The sequence below is a fragment of the Homo sapiens genome, chromosome 10 (assembly GCF_000001405.40).
Source record: "Homo sapiens chromosome 10, GRCh38.p14 Primary Assembly".
NCBI classification, from domain to species: domain Eukaryota; kingdom Metazoa; phylum Chordata; class Mammalia; order Primates; family Hominidae; genus Homo; species Homo sapiens.
The window spans coordinates 74726789-74741404 of record NC_000010.11 but is presented as its reverse complement, the minus strand read 5'-3'; the positions used below and the strand labels follow the sequence as shown (position 1 = coordinate 74741404).

Here is a 14616-nt window from a genome sequence, read left to right as displayed (position 1 = left end):
ATGCGTGTGCATGCATGTATATGTGCATGTACATATGTATATACACACATATGCACACATGTATGTGCATATGCATATATACACATACATACACGTATGCATGCACACATGTGTATATACACATATGTATGCATATACACATGTATATGTATTTATGTATATATGCATACATATATACACATATACACATATATACATGTATACATAGATGTATATGTATGGAATATGTATGATGTGTGTATACATACATAACACACAAACACGTGTATATTTGCTATAATTTGTACTTGCATCAGATCTTTTTCTTCTTATTTTATTTTCGAACTGCTTATTAATAGTAATATTCAGTCACTCAACAAATACTTATATGCTACTGTGTGCCAGGCACTGTGCCAGACACAAGGACCATACTAGTGTACAAAACAGACACGGTCTATATATACTATTGATCATTTCTAAAATATTGATCATCCTTGCATTTCTGGAACAGGTTCTGCTTGGGTATGAAATATTATTTTAGTATATTGTACTAATGAATTAAATTTGCTAGTATTCCATTTAGGATGTGTGTTTATAAATTCCATATAAATAGCCTAAGTGAGACTAAGCTGTCTGGCTTGAGGTGTGTGTGTGTGTGTGTGTGTGTGTGTTTGCGCACGTGTGCATGTATCTGGTTTTGGTGGAAGGGTTATGTTAGCTTGTGAAGTAAACTGGAAACTTTCCGTTATTTCTCTATTTTATGTAGCATTGGAATTGTTTCATTCTTACTCCTTAACAATCACATTAAATTATAATGTTCAAACTAGAAGACTCGAACTGAGAAAAGGCCCCAGTTGTCCTACATCTCAAACCTTTGAAAGAATTTATGGAAATGGGATAGAATGGAGGTTTACACAACAAGACACCAGATGACAAGACATGACTTTCTTGTTTTGGTCCTGTCCCCTCAAAGGGGACCAGCGGCCTTGTATGTTCACTTCTTGAAAGGACTGACTTTTTTCCCAGGGAGGAAAAGTGTGCCCTCATCTTCCAGCTGTTTGATACTCCTGGCGAGTGCAGGACTGGACTGATGCTGCGAGGCAGGGGATAACGGATTGGCTTTGTACAAGGTAGGTAGAAAACTCCAGTGACAGCAAGCTGAGGGCAAAACACAGCACCATTACTGTTCCCGTCTCACAGAACCTGCAGATAGCCGACACAAATAAGAGCTCCATATCTCCCACTTGTCTTCAGCCTTTGTGTCTTTCTGAATTTCTATAACTATAGCTGAATCTGTCAGGCCAGTTCCATGTCCACGGCAGAGTGCAACATCAGGGCCAACATGTGAGCCCCAAAGTCCTGATTCTGTGATCTAATATAATACCTCCCATCATGTTTTTATTTATATCCCTAAATGTGTCTTCCAATTTTTTTTTTTTCAAGACCAGTTCTCACTCTGTCGCCCAGGCTGGAGTGCAGTGGTGCAATCTTGGCTCACTGCGACCTCTGCCTCTGGGGTTCAACCAATCCTCCTGCCTCAGCCCCCAGAGTAGCTGAGGTTACAGGTGTACACCACCACGCCTGGCTAATTTTTGTATTTTTTGCAGAGACGGGGTTTAGCCATGTTGGCCAGGCTGGTCTTGAACCTCTGGGCTCAAGTGATCTGTCTCCCTCAGCCTTCCAAAGTGCTGGAATTACAGATGTGAGCCACCGTGCCCAGCCCCAACTTTAAAATTTAAGAATCATTCCTCTTACTTATCTGAGAACCTTTTAAGTACATGGGGTCTCTACTTGCAAGCAGCTCATATATTAGTTTTCTATTGCTGTGTAACAGATTGCCACAAACTTAGTAGCTTAAAACAGCACCCATTTATTATCTCACAGTTCTACACGCACAAACGATTTTTATAAATAGAGACAGGTTGCCCAGGCTGGTTTCAAACTCCTGACCTCAAGTTACTCCCCCGCTTTGTCCTCCCAAAATGTGGGGGTTACAGACGTGAGCCACCGCGCCTGGCCTCTCACAGTTCTGTAGTCAGAAGTCTGGTGGGTGGGCTTGGCAAGGTACTGTCCTTAGGGTCTCTAAATGCTGAAATCAAGGTGGCAGCAGGGCTTTGTTACTTCCTGGAGGCTCTGGGAAGGAAACTGCTAACAAGCTTATTCAGGCTGTTGGTCAAATTCAGCTCCTTGTGGTGCTAGGGCTGAGGTCCCGTTTCCTTTCTGTTGGCCTTGAGCCTCTTGAGGTTTCCTGTGCGCCTGGTCACGTTGCCCCTTCACCTTCAAAGCCAGCAAAGGCTCACTAACTCCTTCTCAAGCGTTGAATCTCTCTGACTTCTGCCTTATCTCTCCTGCCTCCTGCAGGAGAAAGTTCTCTGCTTTTAAAGGCTCACATGATTAGACTGGGCTCACTGGATCACCCAGAATAATCTCTGTATTTTAAGAACTGTCACCTTAATTACATCTGCAATGGCCCTTTTGCATGTTACATAATGTACTTACAGGTTGCAGGGATTGGGACATGGATCTTTGTGGGACCATTATGCCTGTCAGAGCTTTTATCTCTTTGTTTTCCATATAGAATATTTTAGGATAATTTTTTTCCCTTTATGTTTTTATTTTATTTTTGAGACAGGATTTCCCTCTGTCACCCATCTGGAGTGCAGTGGTGCAATCACGGCTCACTGCAACCTCTTCCTTATCACGGCTCACTGCAACCTCTTCCTTCCAAGCTCAAGAGACCCTCCCACCTCAGCCTCCCAAGGAGCTAGGACTAATACAGGCACATGCCACCACGCCTGGCTAATTTTTGTATTTTTTGTAGAGATGGGGTCTCCCTATGTTGCCCAGGCTAGTCTTGAATTCCTGGGCTCAAGCAATCCTCCAGCCAAAGTGTTGGGATTACTGGCATGAGCCAACTTGCCTGGCCAATTTTTTCCATTTAAGAGGAAATAGAAGACAGCTCCATCCTTTTGGAAAAAATGAACTGCCAGACACCATCAGGCCCCAAATTCACACAGCCATCATGCATTCAGCCTCTAACCATAAGTCCTTGATTCTGGCCTCAAACTCAGTAAAATTCATTTGTGCATTTAAGACTTGAGGCAGCCAAATTTTGACACACCATTAGGTGGCACTTGATTAGAAAGCTTGCTTCTGTCTGAACTTTCTCAAGGCAGCAATCCGACAAGAGGGCAAGGAAACTCTGAGGTCAAGGGCAGAGTAGGGCTGAGGTTCTTAGTGATTATGGGGAAGTCCTCACAGGCAAAAACTGTCCAAGACTTGAAAGTAATTTGTACATTCAAGTTGACTTTAGAGAACTTAAATATTACTTAGCAACTGTAAATAGACTATTTAAAAGCTTTTACACATGATATTTTAAGAAAGCATGGCATCAGCTGGGCATGGTGGCTCACACCTGTAATCCCAGAACTTTGGGAGGCTGAGGCGGATCGATTGCCCGAGGTCAGGAGATCGAGACCAGCTTGGCCAACATGGTGAACCCCGTCTCTACTAAACATACAAAAAATTAGCTGGGCATGGTGGCAGGTGCGTGTAATCCCAGCTACTAGGGAGGCTGAGGCAGGACAATTGCTTGAACCCGGAAGGCAGAGGTTGCAGTTAGCTGAGATCTCTAGCCTGGGCAACAAGAGCGAAACTCCGTCTCAAAAAAAAAAAAAAAAAAAAAAGCATGGCATCAAAAAAATCACTGTGTGTGTGTGTGTGTGTGTGTGTGTGTGTGTGTGTGTGTGTGTGTATTTTTTTTTTTTTTTTTTTGAGACAGAGTCTTGATCTGTTGCCCAGTCTGGAGGGTACTGGTGCAATCACAGCTCACTGCAGCCTCAACCTCCTGGGCTCAGGTGATCCTCCCACTTCAGCCTCCTGAGTAGCTGGGACTACAGGCGCATGCCACCACATCTGGCTAATTTTTGTATTTTTTGTAGAGACAGTGTTTCACCATGTTGCCTGGGCTGGTCTTGAACTCCTGGGCTCAAGCAATTCACCTGTCTCGGCCTCCCACAGTGCTGTGATTACAGGTGTGAGCCACCATGCCTGGCCACCACATTTGTCCTATGTTTAAAATGAGCAAATATTCAGGCCGGACATGGTGGCTCATGCCTGTAATCCCAGCACTTTGGGAGGCTGAAGCGGGTGGATCATCTGAGGTCAGAAGTTCGAGACCAGCCTGACCAACATGGAGAAACCCCATCTCTACTAAAAATGCAAAAGTAGCCTGGTGTGGTGGCACATGCCTGTAATCCCAGCTACTCAGGAGACTGAGGCAGGAGAATTGCTTGAACCCAGGAGACGGAGGTTGCAGTGAGCCGAGATTGCACCATTTCACTCTAGCCTGGGTGACAGAGTGAGACTCCGTCTCAAAAAAAAAAAAGGCTATTATGGAGATTCATGCACGAGTTTATTTCTGAGTATGCACATATGTTTTTATTTCTTCTGAGCCGATATGGAAAGGTGGAATTTCTGGGTTAGATGGCAACTCCACATTTAGCTTTCTGAGGAACCGCTCAACTGTTTGCCAAAGTGGCTGCACCATTTTACATGATCAACACATACGTAATTTTAAAAATGGCTTCATTAACATGTGATTGACATACAATAAAATGCACATATATTAAGTGTATGATTTGGTAAGTTTTGGCTTATGAATACACTCATAAAACCATCACCACAATCACTTCAAAGTCATCTATCACTCCAAAAATTTTCCTTGTACCCCTCTGAAATTCATTCTTCCCATATCTCATGATACAATTGTGAGACCTGAATTTGAGTATTTGTTGTTACTGTTGTTGTTTTGCATAGGAAAACAATTGTACCAGCACCATTTGGATAGTCCTATGCAAAATGACAACAACAGCAAATACTTAAACTCAGGTCTCACAATCTGTATCATGTCTATCTCATATACAAAAAATTGTCTCCAAATGGACCATCTCTCCCCACTCCATCATTCCATTATTTCCAAGTAATCACTGTTCTTTCTGTCATTATGGTTTAGTATGCATTTTCTAAAGTTTTAAATAAATGCAATCCTATAGTATTTTTTTTGGTCTAGCTGTGTGTTTCCTCTTTGTCTGGCTTTTTCCACTGAGTGTAATTATTTTAAGATTCACCTAAGATGTTGACTGTCTCAATAATCCATTCCTTTTTATTGATGGGTAATATTCCATTGAATGTATATACCACAATTTGCTTACTCATTCCCCTGTTGGTGGACATTTGGGTTGTTTCCAATCTAGGGCTATTCCAAATGAAGCTGCTATGAACGCTCATGCACAAGTCTTTTGCAGACATATATTTCATTTTTCTTGGGTAAATATCTGAGTGGAATGTTTCTGTTACGTGATAGCTATATTAATATTAAGCATTTAAGAAACTTCCAAACTGCTTTTGAAATGGCTGTGCCATTATATATCCTCACCCGCAGTGAATGGGAATTCTAATTCCTTCACATCCTCACCAATACTTCGTACGGCCAGTCTCTTTTTTTTTTTTTTTTTTTTTGAGACGGAGCTTCGCTCTTGTTGCCCAGGCTGGATTGCAATGGCATGATCTCGGCTCACTGCAACCTCTGCCTCCCGGGTTCAAGAGATTCTCCTGCCTCAGCCTCCCAAGTAGCTGGGATTACAGGCGCCTGCCACCATGCTCGACTAATTTTTGTATTTTTAGTAGCAACGGGGTTTCACCATGATGGCCAGGCTATTCTCGAACTCCTGGCCTCAAGTGATCTGCCACCTCAGCCTCCCAAAGTGCTGGGATTACAAGCATGAGCCACTGCACCCAGCCCAGTATTTTTAATTCTATTGATTCTAATAGGTGTGAAGAGGTACCTCTCTGTGGGTTTAATTTGCACTTCATGAGGTCAAGTGTCTTTTCATGTACTTATTTGGTGAAATATGTGTTCAAATCTTTGCCTATTTATAAAATTGGATTTTTTTAAACTTTGGTTTTGAGAGTTTTTTAAAAATATGTATATAACAATACATATGTTATCTATATAAAATATACTTATATATAAAACAAAATATATGTTATATATATAAAAATATACTTATATATAAAACAAAATATATGTTATATATAAAACTATATACATGTATGTGTATATATATGTATATACATATTTTTGAGACAGAGTCTCTCTCTGTTGCCCAGGCTGTAGTGTAGTGGTGCGATCTCAGCTCACTGCAAACTCCACCTCCCAGGTTCAAGCAATTCTCCTGCCTAAGCCTCCTGAGTAGCTGGGATTACCGGCGTGCCACTATGCCGGCTAATTTTTTGTATTTTTAGAAGAGACAGGGTCTCACCATGTTGGCCAGGCTGGTCTTGAACTCCTGACCTCAAGTGACCTACCCACCTTGGCCTCCCAAAGTGCTGGGTGTTATACATTATTGATAGAAGTCTTTTATCAAATATGAGCTTTGCAAAAATATTCTCCTATTCTGTGGCTTACCTTTTCATATTCTTAATAGTTTCTTTTGAATAGCAGAGATTTTCAATTTTTATGAAGTCCAAAATATCAATTTGTCCTTTTTAGGATTGTGTTTTGGTATCATATCTAAATTTTTTTTTGCCTAATGGACGACCAAAATTTTCTCCAGTTTTTGTTTCTGTAGTTTTTTAGTTTTAGATTTTTAACAATCAATTGCCACATAATTAAAATTTCAGAAACCCATAGATTTATGATCAATTGTTTTTTTTCAACCAGGGTGCCAAGAAATAGCCTTTTCAACAAATAATGATGAAAAATTGGATATTCACATATGAAAGGAATGTGGACCTCTAACTCACACCATACACAAAAACTAACTCAAAATTACTTATAGATCTAAATTTAAGAGCTAAAACTATAAAACACGTAGAAGAAAATGCAGAATATTTGTGACTTTGGGCTAGGCAATGGTTTCTTAGATATAACAAAAGCACAAATAACAAAAGAAAAAAAAATCTATAGCTAAGTTAGAAACTTTTGTGCTACAGATGATACCATCAAAAAACTGAAAAGACAACTTACAGAATTGGAGAAAACATCTGCAGATCATATGAAGGAATTGCATCTAGAACATACAAAAATACAATTCAACAATTAAAAGACAAAAAAACCCCAATTTAAAAATGAGCAAAGGATTTGAAAGTACATCTGAAGAAGTTATATAAATGGTGAATAACACATGAAATGATGCTCAACACCATTAGTCATTAGGGAAATGCAAATCATAACCACAATGAATTACCACTTCGTATCCACTATGATGGCTATAATAATTTTTAAAACACAGAAAATTACAAGTGTTCGTTAATGAGGATGTGGAGAAACTGGAAACCTTGTACATTGCTGGGAATGTAAAATGGTGCAGTCACCGTGGAAAACCATTTGGTGGTTCCTCAAAAAGTTAAACATAAAATTACAAGACGACTCTTCAACTCTACTCCTAGACATATAATCAAAAGAATTGAAAACAGAGACTCAAGCAGATATTTGTATGCTAATGGTCATTGTAGCACTGTTCACAATAGCCAAACAGTGGAAACAACCCAGTGTCCATCAACTGATAAACAAAATGTACTGCACACATACAGTGGAATAGTATTCAGCCACAAAAAAGGAATGACATTCTGATACATGCTACATCATGGGTGAATCTTGAAAACATTATACTAAGTGAAATAAGCTAGACAAATATTGTATTATTCCACTTATAATATTTATAATAGGCAAATTTATAGCAACAGAAAGTAAATAATAGGTTACCAGGGGTTGGGAGTGAGGAGAGATGGGTAGTTAACAGGTGCAGAGTTTCTGTTTGGGGTGCTGGAAAAGTCTTGGAAATAGAAATAGTGGGGATGATTGCAAAACATTGTGAATGTAATTAGTGCCACTAAATTGTGCTCTTAAAATGGTTAAAATGACGGTCGGGCGTGGTGGCTCGTGCCTGTAATCCCAGCACTTTGGGAGGCCAAGGCGGGCAAATCACGAGGTCAGGAGATCGAGACCATCCTGACTAACACGGTGAAACCCCGTCTCTACTAAAAATACAAAAATTTAGCTGGGCAGCTGAGGCAGGAGAATGGCGTGAACCCGGGAGGCGGAGCTTGCAGTAAGCCGAGATCGCTCCACTGCACTCCAGCCTGGACAACAGAGCGAGACTCCGTCTCAAAAAAAAAAGGGGGGGGGCGTTAAAATGACATATTTTATGTTACATTTATTTTACCACAATAAGCAAACAGACAAATGCATAATGAGATACCATTTCATGTTCACTAGCATGGCTATAATAAAAAAAGACAGGCAATAATGAGTGTTGGCAAGGATATGGAGAAATTGAAACCTTAGTGAACTTCTGGTGGGAATGTAGCCTTTTGTAGCTGTTTTGAAAAACAGTTTTGCAGTTTCTTAAAAAGTTAAACATATCATTTTCATACAATCCAGCAATTCCACTCCTACTTATCAACCCAAGAGAAATGAAAACATATGCTCACACAAAAACTTGTACACAAATGTCCCTAGCAGCATTATTGTAATAGAACCAAAGTGGAAATAACTCCAGTATTTATCAACCAATGAATGAATAAACAAAATGTGATATATCCTTACAAAGGAATATTATTTGGCAAGTGAAAGGAATGAAGTACTGATACACACTACAACATAGATGAACCTTGAACAAATTATGCTAAGAGAAAGAAGCCAGTTACAGAAGACTAAATATTGGATGCTTTCATTTTATAGAATATTGGTAAGAACCAAATCTGTAAAGACAGAAAGATTAGCTGTTGCTTAGGGCTGAGGAGGAGACAGTAGGGGAAATGAGGAGTTATTGCTAATAAGTACAAGGTTTCTTTCTGGGTGGACAAAAATTTTCTATAGATTGTGGTGATGGTTGTCCAACCCAGGGAACTTACTTAAAACATTTGACTTAGGCTGGGTGAGGTGGCTCATGCTACTGGAATCCCAGCACTATGGGAGGCTGAGGAGGGAGGATCACTACAAGTCAAGAGTTGGAGACCAGCCTGGGCAACATAGTGAGACCCTGTCTCTACAGAAAAATTTAAAAACTAGCTGGGCATGGTGGTGCACATGGGAGGCTGAAGCAAGAGGATCCCTTAAGCCCAGGAGTTTGAGGTTACAGCAAACTATGATCATGCCACTGCACTCCATTCTGGGCAACAGAGTGAGACCCTAACTCTAAGAAAAAAATAAATTAAATAAAATTAAAAATGTAAAAAGTGTACATTTTAAATGGGTGAATAGTTTGGTTTGTAAGTTATATCTCATAAAGCTCTTGAAGAGTCACTTGTGCATGTTTATGTGGGTCTATTTCTGAACTCTCTATTCTGTTCCACTTATCTGTTTCTAACTTTATGCTAATGCCACACTGTTTTGATTACTGTGGCTTTATATGTCTTGAATCAAGTAATGTAAATCCTCTGACTTTGCTCTTCTTTTTCAAAGCTGTTTTGGTTATTCTAGGTCCTATGTATTTTCATATGAATTTGAGAATCAGTAGCTTGTCAGTTTTCACAAAAATGCCAGCTAGAATTTTGATTGTGATTGCATAGCATCTGTATTAGTCCATTTTGTGTTGCTACAAAGGAATATCCAAGGCTGGGTAATTTACAGACAGAAGAGGTTTATTTGGCTCACGGTTCTGCAGGCTGTCCAAGCATGGCACCAGCATCCACTTGGCTTCTGGTGAGGCCTCAGGAAGCTTTCATTCATGATGGAAGGTAAAGGGGGAGCAGGTGTGTTACATGGCAAGAAAAGGAAGCAAATGAGAGATGCCAGACTCCTGTAAACAACCAGCTCTCTTATGAATGATAACTCACTCATTGCCATAGGAGGACACCAAGGCATTCATGAAGGGTCTGCCCCATGACCCAAACACCTCTTACTAGGCCCCACCTCCAACAGTGGAAATCACATTTCGACATGAGATTTGGAGGGGACAGATATCCAAACCATATAATTCCACCCTGGCCCCCCAGATCTCATGTCCTTCTCATGCTGCAAAATATAATCACCCCTCCTTAATAGTCCCCCAAAGTCTTAAGTCATTCTAGCATCAACTCAAAAGTCCAAAGTCCAAAGTCTCATCTGAGACTCAAGGCAAGTCCCTTCCGCCTATGAGCCTGTAAGACCAATAACACGTTATTTACTTCCAAGATGCAATGATGGTACAGGCATTAGGTAAACATTCCCATTCCAAAAGGGAGAAATTACCCAAAAGAAGTGGGCAACAGGCCTCATGCGGGTCTGAAACCCAGCAGGGCAAACGTTAAATCTTAAAGCTCCAAAATAATCTCCTTTGACTCCATGTCCCATATCCTGGGCACACTTGTGTGAAGAATGCACTCCCAAGGCCTCAGGTGGCCCTGGCCCTGTGGCTTTGCTGGGCGCAGCCCAAGTGGCTGCTCTCACAGGTTGGAGTTGAGTGTTTGCAGCTTTTCCAGGCTGAGGGTGCAAGCTGCCAGTGACTCTACCATTCTTGGGCCTGGAGGGTGGTAGTTCCATTCCCACAGCTCTACTATGCAGTGCCTCACTGGGGACTCTACACAGGGGCTCCAACCCCACATTTTCCCTCAGCACTGCCCTAGTTGTGGCTCTCTGTGGGGGCTCTGCCCCTGTGGCAGGCTTCCGCACCCAGGCTTTCCTATATATCTTCTGAAATCTAGGTGGAAGCTGCCAAGCCTACTTCACTCTTGCATTCTGTGTGCCTGCAGACTTAACACCATGTGGAAGTTGCCAAGGCTTACAGCTTGTGCCCTCTGGAGCTGCAGCCCAGGCTGTACCTGAACCCCTTTGAGCCAATGCTGGAGCTGGAGTGGCCAGCGTTGGGAGAGTAGCGTCCTGAAGAAGTACAGGGCAGCAGTGACCCAGCCTGATCTCTAAAACAAGTCTGTCTGTCTAGGCCTCCAGGGCTGTGATGGGAGGAGTGTCCTGGAAGATTTCTGAAATGCCTTCTGAGCCTTTTCCCCATTGTCTTGAATATTAGCACCTGGCTCCCTTTTAGACGTGCTAATTGCTCTAGCAAGGTTTGCTCCCAACCGCAGCCTGCTTGGATTCCCCTCCTGGAAACTCCCTTTCCTTCTCTACCACATGGCCAGGCTGTGGATTATCCAAACTTTTATGCTGTGCTTCCCTTTTAATGATAAGTTCCAACCTTAGGTCATTCCTCTGCTCCCATATCTGATCATAGGCTGTTAAAAGCAGCCATGGCACTTCTTGAATGCTTTGCTGCTTAGAAATTTCTTCTGCCAGTTACCCTAAGTCATCACTCTCAAGTTCAGCCTTCCACAAAGCTCTAGGACATGGACACAATGCAGCCAAGTTCTTTGCTAAGGTGTAACAAGGGTGACTTTTACTCCAGTTCTCACTAAATTCTTCATTTCTTTCTTCTTTTTTTTTTTTTTTTTTGAGACAGAGTCTCACCCTGTCACCCAGGCTGGAGTGCAGTGGTGCGATCTCAGCTCACTGCAACCTCTGCCTCCCAGGTTCAAGCAATTCTCCTGCCTCAGCCTCCCAAGTAGCTGGGATTACAGGCACCCATCACCATGCCTGGCTAATTTTTGTATTTTTAGTAGAGACGGGGTTTCACCATGTTGGCCAGGCTGGTCTTGAACTCCTGACCTCAGGTGATCTGCCCACCTTGGCCTCCCAAAGTGCTGGGATTATAGGCGTAAGCCACTGCTCCCAGCCAAGTTCTTCATTTCTATCTGATACCTCCTCAGCCTGGCCTTCACAGTCCACATTTCTATCAGCATTTTGGACACAATCATTTAACCAATCTCTGATAAGTTCCAAACTTCCCCTTGTCTTCCTGTCTTCTTCTGAGCCCTCCAAACTCTTCCAACCTCTGCTCATTACACAGTTCCAAAGCCACTTCCACATCCTCAGGTATCTTTATAGCAACATCACACTCCTGGTATCAATGTTCTGTGTTAGTCTGTTTTGCATTGCTAGGGAAGAAATGCCTTCTGGGTCTTTTCCCTATTGTCTTGAATATTAGCACCTAATAATATTTATAATATTTATTATTTATAAATAATAAATATTTATATTTATAATAAAATTATAATAAAGGGAGCCTTGAATAAAGGCCTTTATTATAAATTTATAAAGACTGGGTAATTTGGCCAGGTGCGGTGGCTCATGCCTGTAATCCCAGCACTCTGGGAGGCTGAGGTGGGTGGATCACTTGAGGTCAGGAGTTTGAGGCCACCCTGGCCAATATGGCGAAACTCTGTCTCTACTAAAAATACAAAAATTAGGTAGGTGTGGTGGCTCACGCCTGTAGTCCCAACTACTCGAGAGGCTGAGAGGCAGGAGAATTGCTTGAACCTGCTGAGTGCAGTGGTGCGGAGATCGTGCCACTGCACTCCAGCCTGAGCGACAGAGTGAGACTCCATCTCAAAAAAAAAAAAAAAAGACTGGGTAATTTATAATTATCAAAGACTGGGTAACTTATAAAGAAAAGAAGTTTATTTGGCTCACGGTTCTGTAGGCTGTACAAACATGGCACCGTCATCTGCTCAGCTTATGGTGAAGCCTCTGGAAAGTTTTTTTTTTTTTTTTTTTTTTGAAACAGAGTCTCGCTCTGTCACCCAGGCTGGAGTGCAGTGGCACAATCTTGGCTCACTGCAACCTCTGCCTCCTGGGTTCAAGAGATTCTCCTGCCTTAGCCACTCAAGTAGCTGAGACTACCCATGCATGCCACAATGCCTAGCTAATTTTCGTATTTTTAGTAGAGACAGGGTTTCACCATGTTGGCCAGGCTGGTGTCGAACTCCTGACCTCAAGTGATCTGCCCACTGTGGCCTCCCAAAGTGCTGGGATTAAAGGTGTGAGCCACCATGCCTGGCCAGCCTCAGAAAGATTTTACTCATGGCAGGAAGAAAAGAAAAGAGGGAGTAGGTGTGTCACATAGTGACAGAGAGAGCAAGAGAGAGATGCCAAGCTCTTTTAAACAATCAGCTCTTGTGTGACCTAATACAGCAAAAACTCACTCATTACCGCAGAAGGGCACCAAGCCACTCAGGAGGGATCCACCCCTGTGACCCAAACACCTTTCACTAGGCCCCACCTCCAACACTGGAGATCACATTTCAACATGAGATTCAGAGGGAATAAATATCCAAACCACATCAGCATCTATAGATCAATTTGGGGACAATTGATATCTTAACATTGTTGAGTCTTCTGACCCATGAACAAGGCATATCTAGTTTTTTTTTTATACAGGGTTTCACTCTGTCACCCAAGCTGGAGTGCAGTGGCTTGATCATGGCTCACTGCAGTCTCGACCTCCCACATGCCTGTAGTCCCAGCTACTTGGGAGGCTAAGATGGGCTCAGGTGATCCTCCCATCTCAGCCTCCCAAGTAGCTGGGGCTACAGGCGTGTGTCACCATACCTGGCTAAATATATATATATATATATATATATATTTTTTTTTTTTTTTGTAGAGACGGGGTTTGCCATGTTGCCCAGGCTGGTCTTGAACTCCTGGGCTCAAGAGATCTGCCCACCTCAGCCTCCTAAGGTGTTGGGATTACAGGCGTGAGCCACTGTGCCCAGACTATTTATTTATTTAGATATTATTTAATTTCTTTCAGCAATATTTTATGGTTTCCAGTTAGAGGACTTCTACGTATTTTGTATTTTGTATTTTACGTATTTTATATTTTTGATGCTATTACAAATGGCATTTTACTAATTTGATAAATTAATAAATGTATGAATTTTCACTGTTAGCATATAGAAATATAATTAATTTTTGTGTATTATCTTGTATCCTTCAACCTTGCTAAACTTGCCTATTAGTTCTAGTTGCTTTTTTCTGGGTTCCTTTAGATTTCTACATAGACAGTCACGTTGTGTGAAAATTGAGACAATTTTACTTCTTCAATTTAGCTGGTTTTTTTTCTTTTTTTTTCTGCCTGATGGAATGGCCAGGACTTCCAGCACAACGTTGAATAGAAAAGGGGAGAGAAGGTGTCTTGTTCCTAGTCTTAGGGAAAACTATTCAGTCTTTCACCACTAAGTGTGATAGTAGCTGTGGGGTTTTTGTAGATGTCCATAATTATGTTGAGGATATCCCTTTCTATTCCAGATTTATTTAGTTTTTATTAGGAATGAATATTGGATTTTGTCAAACGCTTTTCTGTGTCTATCAAGATAATCATATGGTTTTCTTTTTTACTTTGTTAATATGGTGAATTATAATGAATGATTTTTCTTTTAGAGATGGTATCTTTTGTTGTTGTTGCCCAGGCTGGCCTTGAACTCCTGGGCTCAAATGATCCTCCCACCTTAGCCTCCTGAGTAGCTTGGACTACAGGCATAAACGACTGCAACTTGCTCAATTATTGATTTTGAATATTTTATTTACTTAGAAATGGAGTCTTGCTACATTGCTCAGACTGGTCTTAAACTCTCAGCCTCAAGATATGCTCCCAGCGTTGGGATTACAAGTGAGAGCTGCCACATCTGGCCCGATTTTGAAGATTAAACTAGCCCTGTATTCCTGGGATAAACTCCACTTGATCATGATATGTTAACTTTTTTTTTTTTTTTTTTTTTTTTTTTTGAGACAGGGATTCCAGAGTATTTTCTTCTAATGTG

General features: G+C 41.4%; 1 annotated feature.

Annotated features, from left to right (window-relative positions):
- Nucleotides 1995-2084: an enhancer, noted in NCBI's record as "active region_3597". NCBI's record gives its function as "activates an Ori minimal core promoter by ATAC-STARR-seq in GM12878 lymphoblastoid cells {active_cell/tissue: GM12878}" and the evidence as "EXISTENCE:reporter gene assay evidence [ECO:0000049][PMID:35858748]".